The sequence below is a fragment of the Homo sapiens genome, chromosome 4 (genome assembly GCF_000001405.40).
Source record: "Homo sapiens chromosome 4, GRCh38.p14 Primary Assembly".
NCBI lineage: Eukaryota > Metazoa > Chordata > Mammalia > Primates > Hominidae > Homo > Homo sapiens.
This window is the reverse complement of record NC_000004.12, coordinates 91,068,236-91,086,705: the sequence shown is the minus strand read 5'-3', so window position 1 is coordinate 91,086,705 and position 18,470 is coordinate 91,068,236. Positions and strand designations below refer to the sequence as shown.

The window sequence follows — 18,470 nt, the reverse complement described above, 5'->3', positions numbered from 1 at the left end:
TTTCCTCATTTGTATAGAACAAAATACCTTCACTTTTGTACAAAAATTGCAATATAAGTATCATCAAAAATGATTTTTTTTGTGCAGTTAGAATGTTTTGATTTACTGAATTAAATATTCCACCCTTCCCACAACTCCCAGCAACCTGAATCACAGAGTTAAGTACAGCATTTATACATTTAGCAGGGAAAAAAAATTAAGTGATGTTAAGTCTTCACATTCAGTTAGTTTTAAAATTACTAGCTTTACCAGAGCAACTTCATACTCTCTAATAATGCATACCAACCTAGTAGCATATGCCAAAAGCCTTTGACAGGAAAATGAGGAATCCCAAATGTCATAAAATATTTGCATTGTTAGAATTTTGTTAACTTCTCAGTAAGTCAGTTTTAAAAATTGCATTGTAATGTTTCTGCCCCCTGTGAAAGGACCTGCTGCTACAGAAATCCATTATAACAGAAACAATGCTTGCCTAATCAGAGAAACAACATTTTCTTTAGCTTCAGAGGAACAAGCACAAATAACACATTTACATAAACATGTAAAATATGCTTTGGCAGAATGAACAGAGCCATATGCAGACAACATTCTCTTCAATGCATCTCCATTTCCATTATCAACGTAATTATCGTCAATCACCATCACCACATCACTGCAACACCATAGCCATGTTTCCTCTTTTTCCCACCCCTCTTCTTTAAACATTCTTACCTCTCTCCCTCCTTGTACTGTCTCTAGTCTTTTCAAGTTTAAACCCTGAAAAAGAAAAGCAAAGTATATTATTATTGGCAACGAAGAATTAAATAATAATTCATATTAGTGCAATAATTTTGAAATAAAGGAAATAATTCACTTATTCGTAACAAAGAAGATCTGAATATAGATGACTATCTCATGGGTGTGTATGTGTCTATGTGTGTGTAGCTAAGTAAGTCTTCAAATGTAGTCCCAATGCATTTCCTGCCGACCCCTACATCATAAGTAAAAATAAAATGTTAATACATCTATTTTAAGCAATGATTGCCTACCCTTTGTTGAAACCAAAGATGTTTAAACTTGAACTAGTATGTACAGTATATTCTATGATGGTAACCTCCTACTCTAGTTCACCTACCAGCAGATCTCAGCGCCCAAACAAAGTCAGATTGATAAAAGACAGCAGAAGCCCTTGCAGTACTGCTGATTATCTATAAAATATTCAGGATTTTATTTCCTGTCAAAGGGCTTTCTCTGTCTTCTATTAGCATACCTGATCTCCACAATATAAAAGAAGGATCCACTTTAAGTTCCTAATAAGCACTATACTTAATTAAAAGAAGAAAGAGTTATTCTTTTTCTTAGCAAGTCAATTTTGTCATTAAAAGTAATGGCAAAAACTACAATTACTTTTGCTCTAATCTGATAAATTATTTAACAAAGCTTTGGAGAACACAAATTTAAAAATGTTCACACTATCATTAAGAATTTTGATTAAAGTCAAAGTATTTATCTATTTTTGATGAAAATTTGAATAGCACATAATAATAATTATATATTTGCATTACCAATGCATTTATCACATACATTGCACTATCAATGTATAAGGTAAAAAAAAAAAAGTGTCCTGTAGTAAAGATGCACTAGACCTATTATGTTTCTAGCTTTATATTTAGGAATTTGAATTTAAGAAGATACTATTACTGTTGTTATTCCATTAAGTAGCAACAATAATAATGCTGGGAGTGCAATATTGTAGTTAAGTATTTCATAGTTACATGATAACTTTTTTTTCATTTGGCTACAGCATTTATGTTTAAAAAATTTTCAGGGTTTTTTCAAACATGTTATCTCTTCATCATCATTTCTTGATTGTTTAGATAAAAACACATGAACATACATATTAACTAAACCATTTTATTTTAAACAGTAGCTTTACTACTCTCTTGACCCTAGAAAATGTTCTAGGATCAACATGGCATACCATTTATTTTTGTATATAGGTGGTAGCCTGTTTTCTGATTATAGAAAATTATCTAAATTTATAGAACAGTTTAAAGAGGCTAAATTATATGTGACAAAGAATATAAAACAAAAAATTAGAACATTTCTTAAATGTAAAGCTTATGCTAAAAGTAAATTCTGAAGTAGTATTCATGCTTATAGATTTTTGCATCTGGGAGATAGTATAATGGGATGCTTTGAATTCAGACTGACATAATTTTAAATCTCTGGTTTGTCACTTTCTTCTCTATGCCCTTTAACAAATTACATAATATCTCTCAATTTCATCTTTTGTGACTGAAAAATGATAATAAATATAGTAGCTACCAAATGTATTTGCTAGGAAGATTAAATGAGATATTATATGTAACAGCATTTAGCAAAGGGCCAGGCACAGCATATCCCAAAATAGTAATTACTGTCTTCTCTTCTGCCTCCTCTCATTTTTATCATTATTACACATGTATAATTAGCTAAATATAAGATCAATTTGAGGCTGGGTATGGTGGCTCATGCCTGTAATCTCTACACTTTGGGAGGCACAGGCAGGTGGATCACTTGAGGTCAGGAGCTCAAGACCAGCCTGGCCAAATAGGGAAACCCTGTCTCCACTAAAAATACAAAAAAATTAGCTGGGTGTGGTGGTGGGTGCCCATAATCCCAGCTACTCGGGAGGCTGAGGCAGGAGAATAGCTTGAACCCAGAAAGCAGAGGTTACAGTGAGTCGAGATCATGGGAGTATTGTTTTCATAAAGCTTGTGGGGAAAACATTGGCCTTACATCTTTAAACAGTTTTTCTGACCCTCAATTTTCCTACCATCTAATTCTGGAACTCAAATTATATATTAAATGACTTGTTAATGTCACCAAAATCACTGACACTGTTTACTTTTGTAAAACCTCCTTTTCTCTTGGTATTTTGTATGTTTTCTACTGTTACACCTTCAAGTTCATTGATCTTTTCTTCTGCAGTGTCTTATCTGCTTTTAATCCCATTCAGTGAAATTTTTATTTCAGCTATCTTAGTTTTCATTTCTAGAAGTTTAATTTTGATATTATTTTACTATCTATTTCTCTCATATTATACTTCTCTTTATACTTCTCATTAAATCCTTGACATTTTTATTTGTAATAGTTTTTTTGTTTTTATTTTATTTCATTTTACTTTATTTTACGTTAAGTTCTAGGGTACATATGCACAACATGCAGATTTGTTACATAGGTATACATGTGCCATGTTGGTGTGCTGCACCCATTAACTCATCATTTACATTAGGTATATCTCCTAATGCTATCCTTCCCCCCGCCAACCCCCCGGCAGGCTCCTGTGTGTGATGTTCCCCACCTTGTGTCTGTGTGTTCTTATTGTTCAATTCCCACCTATGAGTGAGAACATGAGGTGTTTGGTTTTCTGTCCTTGCCATAGTTTGCTCAGAAGGATGGTTTCCAGCTTCATCCATGTCCCTATAAAGGACATGAACTCATCATTTTTTATGGCTGCATAGTATTCCATGGTATATATGTGCCACATTTTCTTAATCCAGTCTATCATTGATGGACATTTGGGTTGGTTCCAAGTCTTTGCTATTGTGAATAGTGCCACAATAAACATACGTGTTCATGTGTCTTTATAGCAGCATGATTTATAATATTTTGAGTATATGCCCAGTAATGGGATGGCTGGGTCAAATGCTATTCCTAGTTCTAGATCCTTGAGGAATCGCCACACTGTCTTCCACAATGGTTGAACTAGTTTACAGTCCCACTAATAGTGTAGAAGTGTCCCTATTTCTCCACATCCTCTCCAGCATCTGTAGTTTCCTGACTTTTTAATGATCGTCATTCTAACTGGTGTGAGATGGTATCTCATTGTGGTTTTGATTTGCATTTCTCTGATGACCAGTGATGATGAGCATTTTTTCATGTGTCTTTTGGCTGCATAAATGTCTTCTTTTGAGAAGTGTCTGTTCATATCCTTCGCCCACTTTTTGATGGGGTTGTTTGATTTTTTCTTGTAAATCTGTTTAAGTTCTTTGTAGATTCTGGATATTAGCCCTTTGTCAGATGGGTAGATTGTAAAAATTTTCTCCCATTCTGTAGGTTGCCTATTCACTCTGATGGTAGTTTCTTTTGCTGTGCAGAAGCTCTTTAGTTTAATTAGATCCCATTTGTCAATTTTGGCTTCTGTTGCCATTGCTTTTGGTGTTTTAGTCACAAAGTCCTTGCTCATGCCTATGGCCTGAATGGTATTGCCTAGGTTTTCTTCTAGGGTTTTAATGGTTTTAGGTCTGACATTTAAGTCTTTAATCCATCTTGAATTAATTTTTGTATAAGGTGTAAGGAAGGGATCCAGTTTCAGCTTTCTACATATGGTTAGCCAGTTTTCCCAGAAGCATTTATTAAATAGGGAATCCTTTCCCCATTTCTTGTTTTTGTCAGGTTTGTCAAAGATGGTTGTAGATGTGTGGTATTATTTCCGAGGGCTCTTTTCTGTTCCATTGGTCTATATCTCTGTTTTGGTACCAGTACCATGCCGTTTTGGTTACTGTAGCCTTGTAGTATACTTTGAAGTCAGGTAGCATGATGCCTCCAACTTTGTTCTTTTGGCTTAGGATTGTCTTGGCAATGAAGGCTCTTTTGTGGTTCCGTATGAAATTTAAAGTAGTTTTTTTCCACTTCTGTGAAGAAAGTCATTGGTAGCTTGATGGGGATGGCATTGAATCTATAAATTACCTTGGGCAGTATGGCCATTTTCACGATATTGATTCTTCCTACCCATGAGCATGGAATGTTCTTCCATTTGTTTGTATTCTCTTTTGTTTCATTGAGCAGTGGTTTGTAGTTCTCCTTGAAGAGGTTCTTCACGTCCCTTGTAAGTTGGATTCCTAGGTATTTTATTCTCTTGGAAGCAATTGTGAATGGGAGTTCACTCATAATTTGGCACTCTGTTTGTCTGTTATTGGTGTATAAGAATGCTTGTGATTTTTGCACATTGATTTTGTATCCTGAGACTTTGCTGAAGTTGCTTATCAGCTTAAGGAGATTTTGGGCTCAGATGATGGGGTTTTCTAAATATACAATCATGTCATCTGCAAACAGGGACAATTTGACTTCCTCTTTTCCTAATTGAATACCCTTTATTTCTTTCTCTTGCCTGATTGCCCTGGCCAGAACTTCCAACACTATGTTGAATAGGAGTGGTGAGAGAGGGCATCCCTGTTTTGTGCCAATTTTCAAAGGGAATGCTTCCAGTTTTTGCCCATTCAGTATGATATTGGCTGTGGGTTTGTCATAAATAGCTCTTATTATTTTGAGATATGTCCCATGAATACCTAATTTATTGAGAGTTTTTTGCATGAAGGGCTGTTGAATTTTATTCATCGAAGGCCTTTTCTGCATCTATTGAGATAATCATGTGGTTTTTGTCTTTGGTTCTGTTTACATGATGGATTACGTTTATCGATTTGCATATGTTGAACCAGCCTTGCATCCCAGGGATGAAGCCAACTTGATCGTGGTGGATAAGCTTTTTGATTTGCTGCCTAATTCGGTTTTCCAGTATGTTATTGAGGATTTTTGCATCGATGTTCATGAGGGATATTGGTCTAAAACTCCCTTTTTTTGTTGTGTCTCTGCCAGGCTTTGGTATCAGGATGATGTTGGCCTCATAAAATGAGTTAGGGAGGATTCCCTCTTTTTCTATTGATTGGAATAATTTCAGAAGGCATGGAACCAGCTCCTCTTTGTACCTCTGGGTAGAATTTGGCTGTGAATCCGTCTGGTCCTGGACTTTTTTTGGTTGGTAGGCTATTAATTATTACCTCAATTTCAGAACCTGTTATTGGGATTCAACTTCTTCCTGCTTTAGTCTTGGGAGGGTGTATGTGTCCAGGAATTTATCCATTTCTTCTAGATTTTCTGGTTTATTTGCATAGAGGTGTTTATAGTATTCTCTGATGGTAGTTTGTATTTCTGTGGGATCGGTGGTGATATCCCCTTTATCATTTTTTATTGTATCTATTTGATTCTTCTCTTTTTTCTTCCATATTAGTCTTGCTAGTGGTCTATCAATTTTGTTGATCTTTTCAGAAAACCAGCTCCAGGATTCATTGATTTTTTGAAGGGTTTTTTGTGCCTCTATCTCCTTCAGTTCTGCTCTGATCTTAGTTATTTCTTGCCTTCTGCTAGCTTTTGAATGTGTTTGCTCTTGCTTTCTAGTTCTTTTAATTGTGATGTTAGGGTGTCAATTTTAAATCTCTCCTGCTTTCTCTTATGGGCATTTAGTGCTATTAATTTACCTCTACACACTGCTTTGAATGTGTCCCAGAGATTCTGGTGTGTTGTGTCTTTGTTCTCATTGGTTTCAAAGAGCATGTTCATTTCTACCTTCATTTCTTTATGTACCCAGTAGTCATTCAGGAGCAGGTTGTTCAGTTTCCATGTAGTTGAGTGGTTTTGAGTGAGTTTCTTAATCCTGAGTTCTAGTTTGATTGCCCTGTTGTCTGAGAGACAGTTTGTTACAATTTCTGTTCTTCTACATTTGCTGAGGAATGCTTTATTTCTGACTATGTGGTCAATATTGGAGTAAGTGTGATGTGGTGCTTAGAAGAATGTATGTTCTGTTGTTTTGGGGTGGAGAGTTCTGTAGATGTCTATGAGGTCTGCTTGGTGCAGAGCTGAGTTCAATTCCTGGATATCCTTATTAACTTTCTGTCTTGTTGATCTGTCTAATGTTGACAGGGGGTTGTTAAAGTCTGCCATTATTATTGTGTGGGAGTCTAAGTCCCTTTTTAGGTCTCTCAAGGCTTGCTTCATGAATCTGGGTGCTCCTGTATTGGGTGCCTATAAATTTAGAATAGTTAGCTCTTTTTGTTGAATTGATCCCTTTACCATTACATAGGTCTTCTTTGTCTCTTTTGATCTTTGTTGGTTTAAAGTCTGTTTTATCAGAGACTAGGACGGCAACCCCTGCTTTGTTTTGTTCTCCATTTGCTTGGTTGATCTTCCTGCATCCCTTTATTTTGAGCCTATATTTGTCTCTGCATGTGAGATGGGTCTCCTGAATTCAGCACACTGATGGGTCCTGACTGTATCCAATTTGCCAGTCTGTGTCTTTTATTTGGAGCATTTAGCCCATTTACATTTAAGATTCATATTGTTATGTGTGAATTTGATCCTGTCATTATGATGTTAGCTGGTTATTTTGCTCATTAGTTGATGCAACTTCTTCCTAGTATTGATGGCCTTATTTGGCATGTTTTTGCAGTGGCTGGTACCAGATGTTCCTTTCTATGTTTAGTACTTCCTTCCAGAGCTCTTGTAAGGCAGGCCTGATGGTGACAAAATCTCTCAGCATTTGCTTGTCTGTAAAAGATTTTATTTCTCCTTCCCTTATGAAGCTTAGTTTGGCTGAATATGAAATTCTTGGTTGAAAATTCTTTTCTTTAAGAATGTTGAATATTGACCCCCACTCTCTTCTGGTGTGTAGAGTTTCTGCTGAGAGATCTGCTGTTAGTCTGATGGGCTTCCCTTTGTGGGTAACCTGACCTGTCTGGCTGCCCTTAACCTTTTTTCCTTTGTTTCAACTTTGGTGAATCTGAAAATTATGTGTCTTGGATTTGCTCTTCTCGAGGAGTATCTTTGTGGCGTTCTCTGTATTTCCTGAATTTGAATGTTGGCCTGCCTCGCTATGTTGGGGAAGTTCTCCTGGATGATATCCTGAAGAGTGTTTTCCAACTTGGTTCCATTCTCCCCATCACTTTCAGGTACATCAATCAGATGTAGATTTGGTCTTTTCACATAGTCCCATATTTCTTGGAGGGTTTGTTCATTTCTTTTTACTTTTTCTCTAAACTTCTCTTGTCGCTACATTTCATTCATTTGATCTTCAATCACTGATACCCTTTCTTCCATTTGATTAAATCTGCTATTGAAGCTTGTGCATTCATCACGTAGTTCTCGTGCCATGGTTTTCAGCTCCATCAGGTCATTTAAGGACTTCTCTACACTGTTTTTTCTAGTTTGCCATTTGTTTACTCTGTTTTCAAGGTTTTTAGCTTCTTGCGATGGGTTCGTACATCCTCCTTTAGCTCGGAGAAGTTTGTTATTACCAGTCTTCTGAAGCCTTCTTCTCTCGACTCATCAAAGTCATTCTCTGTCCAGCTTTGTTCCATTGCTGGCGAGGAGCTGCGTTCCTTTGGAGGAGAAGAGGCTTTTGATTTTTAGAATTTTCAGCTTTTCTGCTCTGGTTTCTCCACATCTTTGTGGTTTTATCTACCTTTGGTCTTTGATGATGGTGACGTACAGATGGGGTTTTTGTGTGGATGTCCTTTCTGTTTGTTACTTTTCCTTCTAACAGTCAGGACCTTCAGCTGCAGGTCTGTTGGAGTTTGCTGGAAGTCCACTCCAGACCCTGTTTGCCTGGGTATCACCTGCGGAGGCTGCAGAACAGCAAATGTTGCTGCCTAATCCTTCCTCTGGAAGCTTCGTCTCAGAGGGGCAACCAGCCTTATGAGGTGTTAGTAGGCCCCTACTGGGAGGTGTCTCCTATTTAGGCTACTCAGGGGTCAGGAACCTGCTTGAGGAGGCAGTCTGTCTGTTCTCAGATCCCAAACTCTGTGCTGGAAGAACCACTATTCTCTTCAAAGCCGCCAGACAGGGACATTTAAGTCTGCAGAAGTTTCTGCTGCCTTTTGTTCGGCTATGCCCTGCCCCTAGAGGTGGAGTCTACAGAGGCAGGCGGGCCTCCTTGAGCTGTGGTGGGCTCCACCCAGTTCGAGCTTCCCTGGCTGCTTTACCTACTCAAGCCTCAGCAATGGCAGATGCCCCTCCACCAGCCTCGCTGCCACCTTGCAGTTCTATGTCAGACTGCTGTGCTAGCAATTAGTGAGGCTCCATGGCCATGGGGCCCTCTGAACCAGGTGTGGGATATAATCTCCTGGTGTGCTGTTTGCTAAGACCATTGGAAAAGTGCAGTATTGGGGTGGGAGTGCCCCAATTTTCCAAGTGCCCTCTGTCAGGGCTTCCCTTTACTAGGAAAGGTAATTCCCTGACCTCTTGTGCTTCCCAGGTGAGGTGATGCCCCACCCTGCTCTGTGGGCTGCACCCATTTGTCTGGCAAGCCCCAGTGAGATGAACCTGGTACCTCAGTTGGAAATGCAGAAATCACCCGTCTTCTTCGTCATTCACACTGTGCAATAGTGTTTTCAACTTTTTCTGTTAACTTCATTATCTGTCATTTCCAGGTCTGTTTCTATTGACTGAATTTTCTCCTGATCTGAGTCACATTTTACTATTTTTTCTCATGTCCAGTAATTTTTTATTGGTTGCCAGATATTATAAATTTTATTTTATTTAGTGTTACATTTAGGTGCATTGATTTAGATGTAGAATTGTTCCTGGCAGGCAGTTAAGTTACCTGTGAGTGATACTGATTCCTTTGAGGCTTGCATTAAACATTTTTTAGGGTGAGTCTGAAGTAGTCTTTAGTGTTAATTTATCCCTGTTCCTAAGGCTTGGTCCCTCTGTGCTCTCTACTGAATACCCTCTGTATTTAATGGGGGTTCCCTATTCTGGCTGATGGGAAATCAAAAGATTACCAGACCTGTGAGACCCCTGGGAATTCTACTGACAGTTCACTCTAATTATTCTTTTCTCACAGTTGTTCTTTGCCTGGTCATGTGGAATTTCACATTATGTATGTGTAGATTGCTATTCAAACAAATATTCTGGGGAGGCCCTATGCGGATTTCTAGAGCTCTTTGTGTATTTCCCTCCTCTCTGGTAATCTGCCCCACAAATTCTAGCTCCTTTGTTCTCTCTAAACTCAGATCTTATCTTCTCAACTACAAAATTTGAATACCATGAAGTTATGTTTAGGCTGTTCCTCCATGTACCATGTACCATGGTCTAAAAATTGCCTCCAGTCAGAAATTCCAGTGTTGGATTGATCTCATTTGTTTCTCTTCTCTTGAAGATCATAGCCTTTCTATGTATTTAGTCCAGTTTTCTAGCAATGAAAGCTGGAAGACAAGACTTACAGATGTAACTCCTTCATGAATAGAAACAGAAGTCAAGGTAAATATTATTTTAGCTTATTTTTTCAAAGGAGGAAATTAAAGTTTACAAAATTTAAATTATGTGACTAAGTTCCAGATCTAGTAAGCATAAAATAAAACTTAAACCAATATTTTAAGAGCCTCAATACCAAGTTCATCCTTTCATCCTTAGTCAAATTGCTTTAAACTTCCATCAGTCAAAATGTTTAATGTATTACATACTTTTCAATACAAATTTATTGTAACATGAAACTCATGTATGAATCATCATGATTCTTCAAAGCAACACAGTGATTAAAAGGAGCTGGGAATAAGCATTTAGTGGAAAAAAAAAAAACTGCATGGTTGGAATATGGAATGAAAGGCAAGCTTGCCAGAGTAGATAAGAGGTACTGTATAAACAATGTAAAAAGCTTGGTATAATTTAGGCACTAGATTATTGACAGACCAAGATTCAGGTTGAAAACCTGAAGCAGTATATCTGATGACAAGAATTTGAGAGCTGTGTGGGCAAAAAATAATGGCTTAAGAGGATTTTCCATATGATACTAGGGCTTTAGACAAGATTGTGTTTCAAAGGAGAAGTAAGGTATAGTAAGATTCATTAATTCTATGATCTGGGAGATGCCAAGCCTTAACTGATAGCAGAAATTACTCTTGAGTACTAGAGCAAGACTGTCTTCAAGTTGGAAGGTCAGGTGGCTTGAATGTGGAAAACTGTTAGGGAAGTATCAACTGTGACTTACAACCTATGCTAGGAAACATGCACAATCTTGATTTTTACTGACTCTTATTGACAGTAATTTGGTTGATTTGCTTTAAAAAAAATCATACTGTAATATCACCCCAACTAACTAAGAAATAACATTTAGCACAAGGGATACTTTCAAAATAAGTATTAATCTAAAATAACCCAAACACCTTTATTTGTGTTCACTTATATATACCACACAACAAAAAAATCCTTTGCATTTTTATACTTTTATATCATTTCCACTAAAACACATATTAAAATACTTCAGAAAGAAGAATATGTTTTAGTTCTATTCACTGAGACAATTTGTCTGACTCTTCAAAAGACTTGATGTACACACGAACAGTCAAATTATTCATATATATGTATGCATATGGGTTGATTCTTAATATTAATATAAGATTCACAGAATTTTAATTGATTTAAAATCCACTTTGTTATTCTTCAACCATATATAAATGTAATATTTGCCTAGCATGTCTTGAGCAAAGCATATTTAAAAATACTCTGGGGGATGTGGTTGGAAAAAATTCATTTCCCTCAGTATACATATTTCTCACTATAGAATATGAAATCTCTGCATTGATCAAAATTAATCACATGAGACAAAACCAAAATGTTATAAATTTTAGGTAGGAAAAAAATTACCCTAAAGCAAATGTTCTGCAGTGTGCTAAATTAAGATGGTTTAGTACGGCAGGAAGGGAGAAAGGCTATTAACTGGAAAAAAAAAAAATAGAACTTCCTACCAAATTTGTCTTGCATTCTAGTAACTGCATGAACACCCCTGGTAACTGCGCTGGCATACAGACCCACTTTGTCTAAGGTACACAGGGAGGTGAGGGAAGAGATCTACCCCTTCATAATGATTAGAAACCCTTCTAAAACTTCTATCATGTCATAAGGATTTCTCCTGCTTCCCTGTAAACAAAAAGGCAGAAATCACTATCTAATATCCCTAGATTTGGTTGATTTATTTTTTCTGATTGAAAAAATATAGATTGGACAGATGGAATAAATATTTTATTTCTAGAACTTCAGAGATTTCGTTGTGACAGTTTTTCTTAACATGTAGAAAGTAGCCATGATTTAACTGAATAAAATAATAATTTTTAAAAGGCTTCAAGTAACTGTGTGACTTTTTAACATTTAGCTTTAGCCGTGAAGGCACAGGAAAGAGCTAGAAGGAACTTTAGATAACTGTAGCTCAACCTCTTCATTTTATAGATGAGGAGGCTTGCAGCCAGGGAACTTAATTTATAAGTGTCAGTTTGGGGACTTGAACTCTGGCCACGGGGTCCCTAATCCAGAATTATCTTTGTTTAAACAAATTGTTTCAGCAGTTCTATCATAAATCATAGTCTTAAAAACTGTATAACTTCTAGAGCATTCCTTAACCATTTCATGGGCCAGGTTCCACAGCTATAAAATTGAAATAATTTATAGTATAAATGAAAGAATCTTTATAAAACGCAGCACAGTGCCTACTCCATCGTTAACTGCAACATGCACTGATGTTAGTGGCATAAGATGTTGCTGCCCTTATTGGCATTATCTAAATAAAAGACTCATTACTATTTCAGTTATAAAAATAACTAATATTTGTTGCATGTTCTCTATGTACCAAGCACCATTCCAAGTGTTTTACCTGGATTAATTTAATTCTGACCATAGCCTTATCACATGTTATATTGCAAAATAGTTCTTCCCCCATTGGGCTGAAATGAAAATGATCTACCAGTTATTCTGTTTTGTTTTTGAACTGATCTCTTTAGACAAAATAAAATGCAACCCCTTATTAGTTCTTGCTATTGTTAGTTTCACGTTGCAGCTACAGCATGTGGCCCAAAGAACGACAAGAGTCGTAAAACACTTCTGGCCTGCTTGCTTTTCACTGCCACATTTATTATATGGCAGCATCATATTAGTGACAGAAACACATTGTTGGATGATAAGGATATTGTTTAAGTCTCTGGGTCTTTGCTTGCCTGGTAAAAAATTGATGATTATCGGGAGGAGGATATAGAGAGTTGTAATGGATGATCTCTGCAGAGTGGTAAAATCTAGTATCTGTATTATGTTTTAATTTTAAGACAGGTATATTGGTCCTTTTACAGGTTCTTACTCTGTGTCTTTCTGTTTTGTATGGCCTCTCAGTGAAACTAATTAAACTACTCAAGAAGTTAAAAAATTCCAAAAAACTTTGAACACAGCTTACACACCTATTGTCAGCCTTATTTAAGCTTCCGTAGTTTCTGATTTTTTTAACTTACATATCTGTATTTTACTCTATCAGTTTGTTGTGTAAATTTTTGATTCAGTTTCAATTTCCAATTATATTGTTGATAAAAATATTTTGTTGCATATATGGACTTCTAATGTTAGTCTTACTTAGGATTCGTTTTGTAAGTGATAATATCGAGGAGTGTCATAGGTTTACAGAATTGACTTAGAAACACAGAACATTTCCTAAGGCAACTTAACCTACTTAAAAACTGCACTAATTCATTCTTACACATAAATCCAGTCTTCCTTTTAAGTTAATAAACATAGTTTAAAGATTTGTAATTCTTTTATCTCTTTTTTAGCCATTTATTGAAAAAATATTCACCCCCTAGGCTATGTTGAAATTTAAGTCACAGAGGGATTTCTAAAGCACATGTTTGAAAATTTTATGGAGTTTATCATGATTTGGGCTAAAATCTATTGAAATACAAAGAACAGCCAAATGTCAAAATTTATCAAACTATATTTTTTCTTCCCTCCTTTCTAAATTAATCCTATTAATCTTTGAATGTCTATACTGTAATAAGCCATTCACTGGAAGCTTTGAATTGTTGTTCACGTCCCATTTAAAAAAAGAATATATGTCATTATTTTCAGGCACTTAACCATGCTTCACTTTTAAGGTTCTGTCTTTGTAAAAATGGAAAATCCTCACTTATTACCTTAAGCAATATTGTAACCATACCACAGGATACTTCTAAATATACACATATGTATGTAACAGAAATATTTACATTTTGAGTCTGACTAGGTGCCAGGCATTATGCAGTACATGTTACATGGATTATTTTTATATCATTTTATATACTTTTTTTATACCTCACAATTACAATATGTTACCATTACTAATCCCCATTTTGCCATAGAAAAATTGAGGGAAGGAGAGGTTAATTAACTTTCCTAAGGATATACAGATCAAAGAAAGCAGAGTTGAATACTGAGCCCAGAGTATCTCATTACAGAGCTACTTTTGGAACTATTACACATACTACCTCCAAAAGTAACTAATACTTTATTTTTATGTGTGTTGAGATAACTAACTGACATGATTTGGATACATGTTTAGCAAATCAGTGATTGAGTAACCTATTAAATGAGTAAGCCTAATTCCAGAACTATATTAATGTTCAAGAGATCAATCTAAACCATGTCATTTTTACCAACTGAAGAAGTAAATGCAAAATAATAAATGATTGGTTTTGAATTCATTTAGATTTGAAAATAACTGTGGGGAAAAAAAGTTAAGTAAATGACGTTGAATTCCAGAAGCCCTGATTCCTTGGGAAAAAATGTGAAATTCAATTGAAATATTTCCTGAGGCAGACAAAAATTAAAAGAAAATTAATGTTACTGTATGGGCACAAATAACATTTCATAGAGTGTGTCTGTGATTATTGTTGCTTAAGGCTAACTAAAATATTAAACTAGATTAGCACTTCCATGCCCCCCAGTTTTCTAGCAGTTCTCATCTTGGTACATTGCATAAGTTAAATTCCTTCTGCTCCAGGGACTTGGGTCATCATATTTTATGAGGTTTCATACAGTAGAGTTTATCCTGAAACTAGATTACTTATAGCATGTCTGATGCTCATACCTGAGTGGTTGTTTGTGATGGTGTTTTCCAGTTCAGATATGAGACTAATCACCAATATAAACTTTATGGGGTATTATTTCTAACAATTCTGATTGGTAATCTAATCCTTAAATAGGAAGTCAAAGACACCCTTTCAGAAAACAAGTAACTCTAAATATTGTCAGTGAAAGGCATGTTGATTTAGCATGCAATCATGGTGGTAAACAGTCTAACCGTGAATTTAAATATGTAAGAACTGGACTAGCACTTAATGTGTGATATGTCACATCATAAGGCAATTATTTTGCTATTTGAAAAACTATTTGATGAGATACTAAGCTTATTGAATCAATCTATCTAGTAAGCTACGTTTCATATTTGTACCGTAGATCATAAAAAGAGAGAATGCACTCAAATAGGTAAAAAGAGAGTATTAATAGCTAGATTATGATTATTTGCATATGAATCTGTCTATTATGTCTGTCCCCATCTCTCTATACACCAAACCCATCAATCCATTGCAACATTATGACTCTCTTGATAGTTCTTAACATGCCAAGCATTCTTCCACCATAGGCCTTTGGACTAGATGTTCATCCTGCCTGGAACTCTCTTCACCTAGATATCTGCATAGCCAACTCCCATGGCTTATCAAGTCTTTGTTTGTATCTCACCTTCTCAATGAGCACTACTTTTACCACTCTATTTAATATTACAATCTTCTGCCTACTTCACTTCTGGCACCCTTAAAACATTTTAACACACTGTATAAATTTATTATTATTGTGTGTTATCATCTTTCCATGTTAGAATAAAAGTACCTCAAAGACAGGGATCTTTGTTTTTATGTTTCTAAATTATACCAGTTGCTCAAACAGTGCTTGGTGCATGATGCTAGGTTCTAAATAAGTACTTAAATATTTGCAAAATGAATGGAATATTTACTTTTCTAAGCATCCATGTATCTAAATAGTTTTACCAAATTTGTACTATATTAATTTAGATCCATAAGTAATATCAGTAGTGTTCACTTTGGAGATCATATTAATTTATTTATTCTTATTAAAGTTAAGCCAACAAAAATCTAGTATTTCTTCTATAATTTTAAGAGAGTCAGCATTTTCTTATCACACTATCTACAACACCACAGAGAGTGTGCCATCATGTTTTTCTATTAAATGCTAAACAATAATCAGTGACAAAGACTTTATTTTTTAAAATTGTTAATACCAGACTCTCTTGTAGAGCGGCGGTTCCCAACCTTTTTGGCACCTGGAACTGGTTTTGTGGAAGGCATTTTTTCCACCGCTGGGGGTGAGGATGGTTTTGGGATGAAATTTTTCAACCTCAGATCATCAGGCATTAGATTCTCATAAGGAGTGCCCAACCAAGATCCCTTGCATGCACAGTTCACAATAGGGTTTGTGCTCCCATAAGAATCTAATGCAGCCACTGATCTCACAGGAGGCAGATGTCAGGCAGTAATGCTCATTTGCCTACTGGTCATCTCCAGCTGGGCAGCCTGGTTCTTAACAGGTCATGGACAAGCATGGTCCGTGGCCTGGGGGTTAGGGACCCCTGCCAAAGAGCACAATTCTTGACAGGACAGTGTCCCCATTCTATCAAGATAATGGTTATTTCAGGGTGAAAACTAAACTAACTTGCAATGTTTAGAAATATAAACTGAGTTCAACTAAAATAAAGAGGATGGATTAGAAGTAGCACAATACCAAGAGTAATGATTTAGTTTTAACATAATGTTTTAAAATTAAAGAAGGTCCTGGGAACTCATGCCTGTAATCCCAGCACTTTGGGAGGCCAAGGCAGGCAGATCACAAGGTTAAGAGTTCTAAACAGTCTGGTCAACATGGTGAAACCCCATCTCTACTAAAAATACAAAAAATTTAGCCAGGTGTGGTGGTGGGCACCTGTAATCCCAGCTACTTGGGAGGCTGAGGCAGGAGAATGGCATGAACTCGGGAGGCGGAGCTTCTAGTGAGCTGAGATGGCACCACTGCACTCCAGCCTGGGTGACAGAGCAAGACTATTTCTTGGAAAAAAAAAAAAAATTAAAAAAGGTTTACTTAAGAAAGTCTGACTCTATATTATAAATTGAGAACAACACATTTAAAATGGTAAAATTATATATGATTATATACAATAAATTCTAAATGGCATTCAATGGGTTTCTGAATCTTTTCTACTCAAGAGATTCTGTACCAGCTGTTCCCTTCTTTTAATGATCTCTCCCCACAACCTTCCCAAGGTCATAGGGTTATCCCTTTGCCCTTCAAATCTCAGTTTAAATTTCCTGTGTCAAAGGACTTTCATGAGCATTGATTCTAAAATAGACATCAACTTGCTTATTGTCATATCACTCAATTTTAAGTTTCTGCTCAGGATTTAACACTGGAAAATATTTTTCATATTAATGTATTTATTATTTTGTGTACTGACTATTCTTCTCACCAGAACGTAAAGTCCATGACAGTATGTCCATCTGGTAAAACTTTATATCCCCAGTACTTAGAACAGTGTCTGGCACTTAGTAGATACTAAACTAATATTAATTAAATGAACTGAATGAATAAATCTCTATAATTACTATAAAATGATATTTATTTACCCTTTTTAACATAAACATGCCATTAATATATTGAGTATAATATTAACCATTCAAATTCATTCAGAAAAAAAAAAGTGAAATGAATAAATTGTTTCTTTTCTCTCGCTAACCTTGGGCAAATCACCAAAAACTCTGAGACTACATTTCTTTTTCAGGAAAATTAATAAACTGAACTAGGTAATCTTGAATATCTCTATTGGCTATAAAATTCTAGGATTTTCTTGTCTTTTAGAAAATCAAAATTTTTATTTTTTATTTATTTTTTTTGAGATGATGTCTCACTCTGTCTGTGCAGTGGCGCGATCTCAGCTCACTGCAACCTCTGCCTCCTAGTTTCAAGCGATTCTTCTGCCTCAGCCTCCCTAGTAGCTGGGGTTACAGGTGCATGCCACCGCACCCAGCTAATTTTTGTATTTTTTGTAAAGACAGGATTTTGCCAGGCTGGTCTCAAACTCCTGACCTCAGGTGATCCACCTGCTTCAGCCTCCCAAAGTGCTGGGATTACAGGCATGAGCCACCATGCCTGGCCAAAAATCAAAATTTTAAAAATGTCTCCATTTTAATATTTGAGCATTGTTACCTAAACGATTTCAACTAAATAAGTGTATCAGTATACAAAAGTTGTGGCCTTTACCTATATCAAACTGGAGTCTCAATGCTTTTCTTTTAAAATTTCCCTCAATTCTTTTAAGAGTACCCCAAAATATTAAACAAGTAACCAGTGGTAGTCTACGCGTGCATTATTTCACCTGCGCTGTAGGTACTTTACATTTTTAATAATTATTATCTTGTAAACTGGCATTGCTTTCAGTATATCCATATTAAGTTCCCACTTTTAAATGTAGTACTCATAATGTAAAACTACATACTATCTGAGAAACTCTATTGAAGACTCAATATTAAACAAATAAATCAGATTGTGTTAAAATCCACTGCTGGAAATCTTACTTTATTAAATGTGTTTATTTCTGTCATTATTAATTTCTAGGAACAGCAAAACATAACAGAAAAATAAATGTGCAGTCTCAGACTGTAAGTCAGAAAATGTACCGTGGCTTACATTTTTATCTCACAGATCAATGTTTCATAATTTTGACAGATCAGTGTCTCATACTGTAACTTAATATCCTCTCAAACCCAAAGAACTAACTGAAAATAAAATGACCATTTTTATTTCTCTATGATATCTACTTC

At 35.8% G+C, this 18,470-nt stretch overlaps 1 protein-coding gene across 14 annotated transcripts in view; it reads right to left on the bottom strand.

Moving 5' to 3' along the window:
* Positions 1–18,470, bottom strand: part of CCSER1 (coiled-coil serine rich protein 1) — a 1,477,902-nt gene that overhangs the window by 518,590 nt on the left and 940,842 nt on the right. For 12 of the 14 annotated variants that reach the window (XM_011531936.2, NM_001145065.2, XM_047415679.1 and 9 more), the window contains one exon: positions 712–756. In XM_011531936.2, the coding sequence (XP_011530238.1) occupies positions 712–756 (45 nt within the window). Of the gene's footprint in view, positions 1–684; positions 757–18,470 lie in introns of those variants that run through there. The other 2 variants (XM_011531947.2, XM_011531951.2) reach the window with 2 other exon arrangements.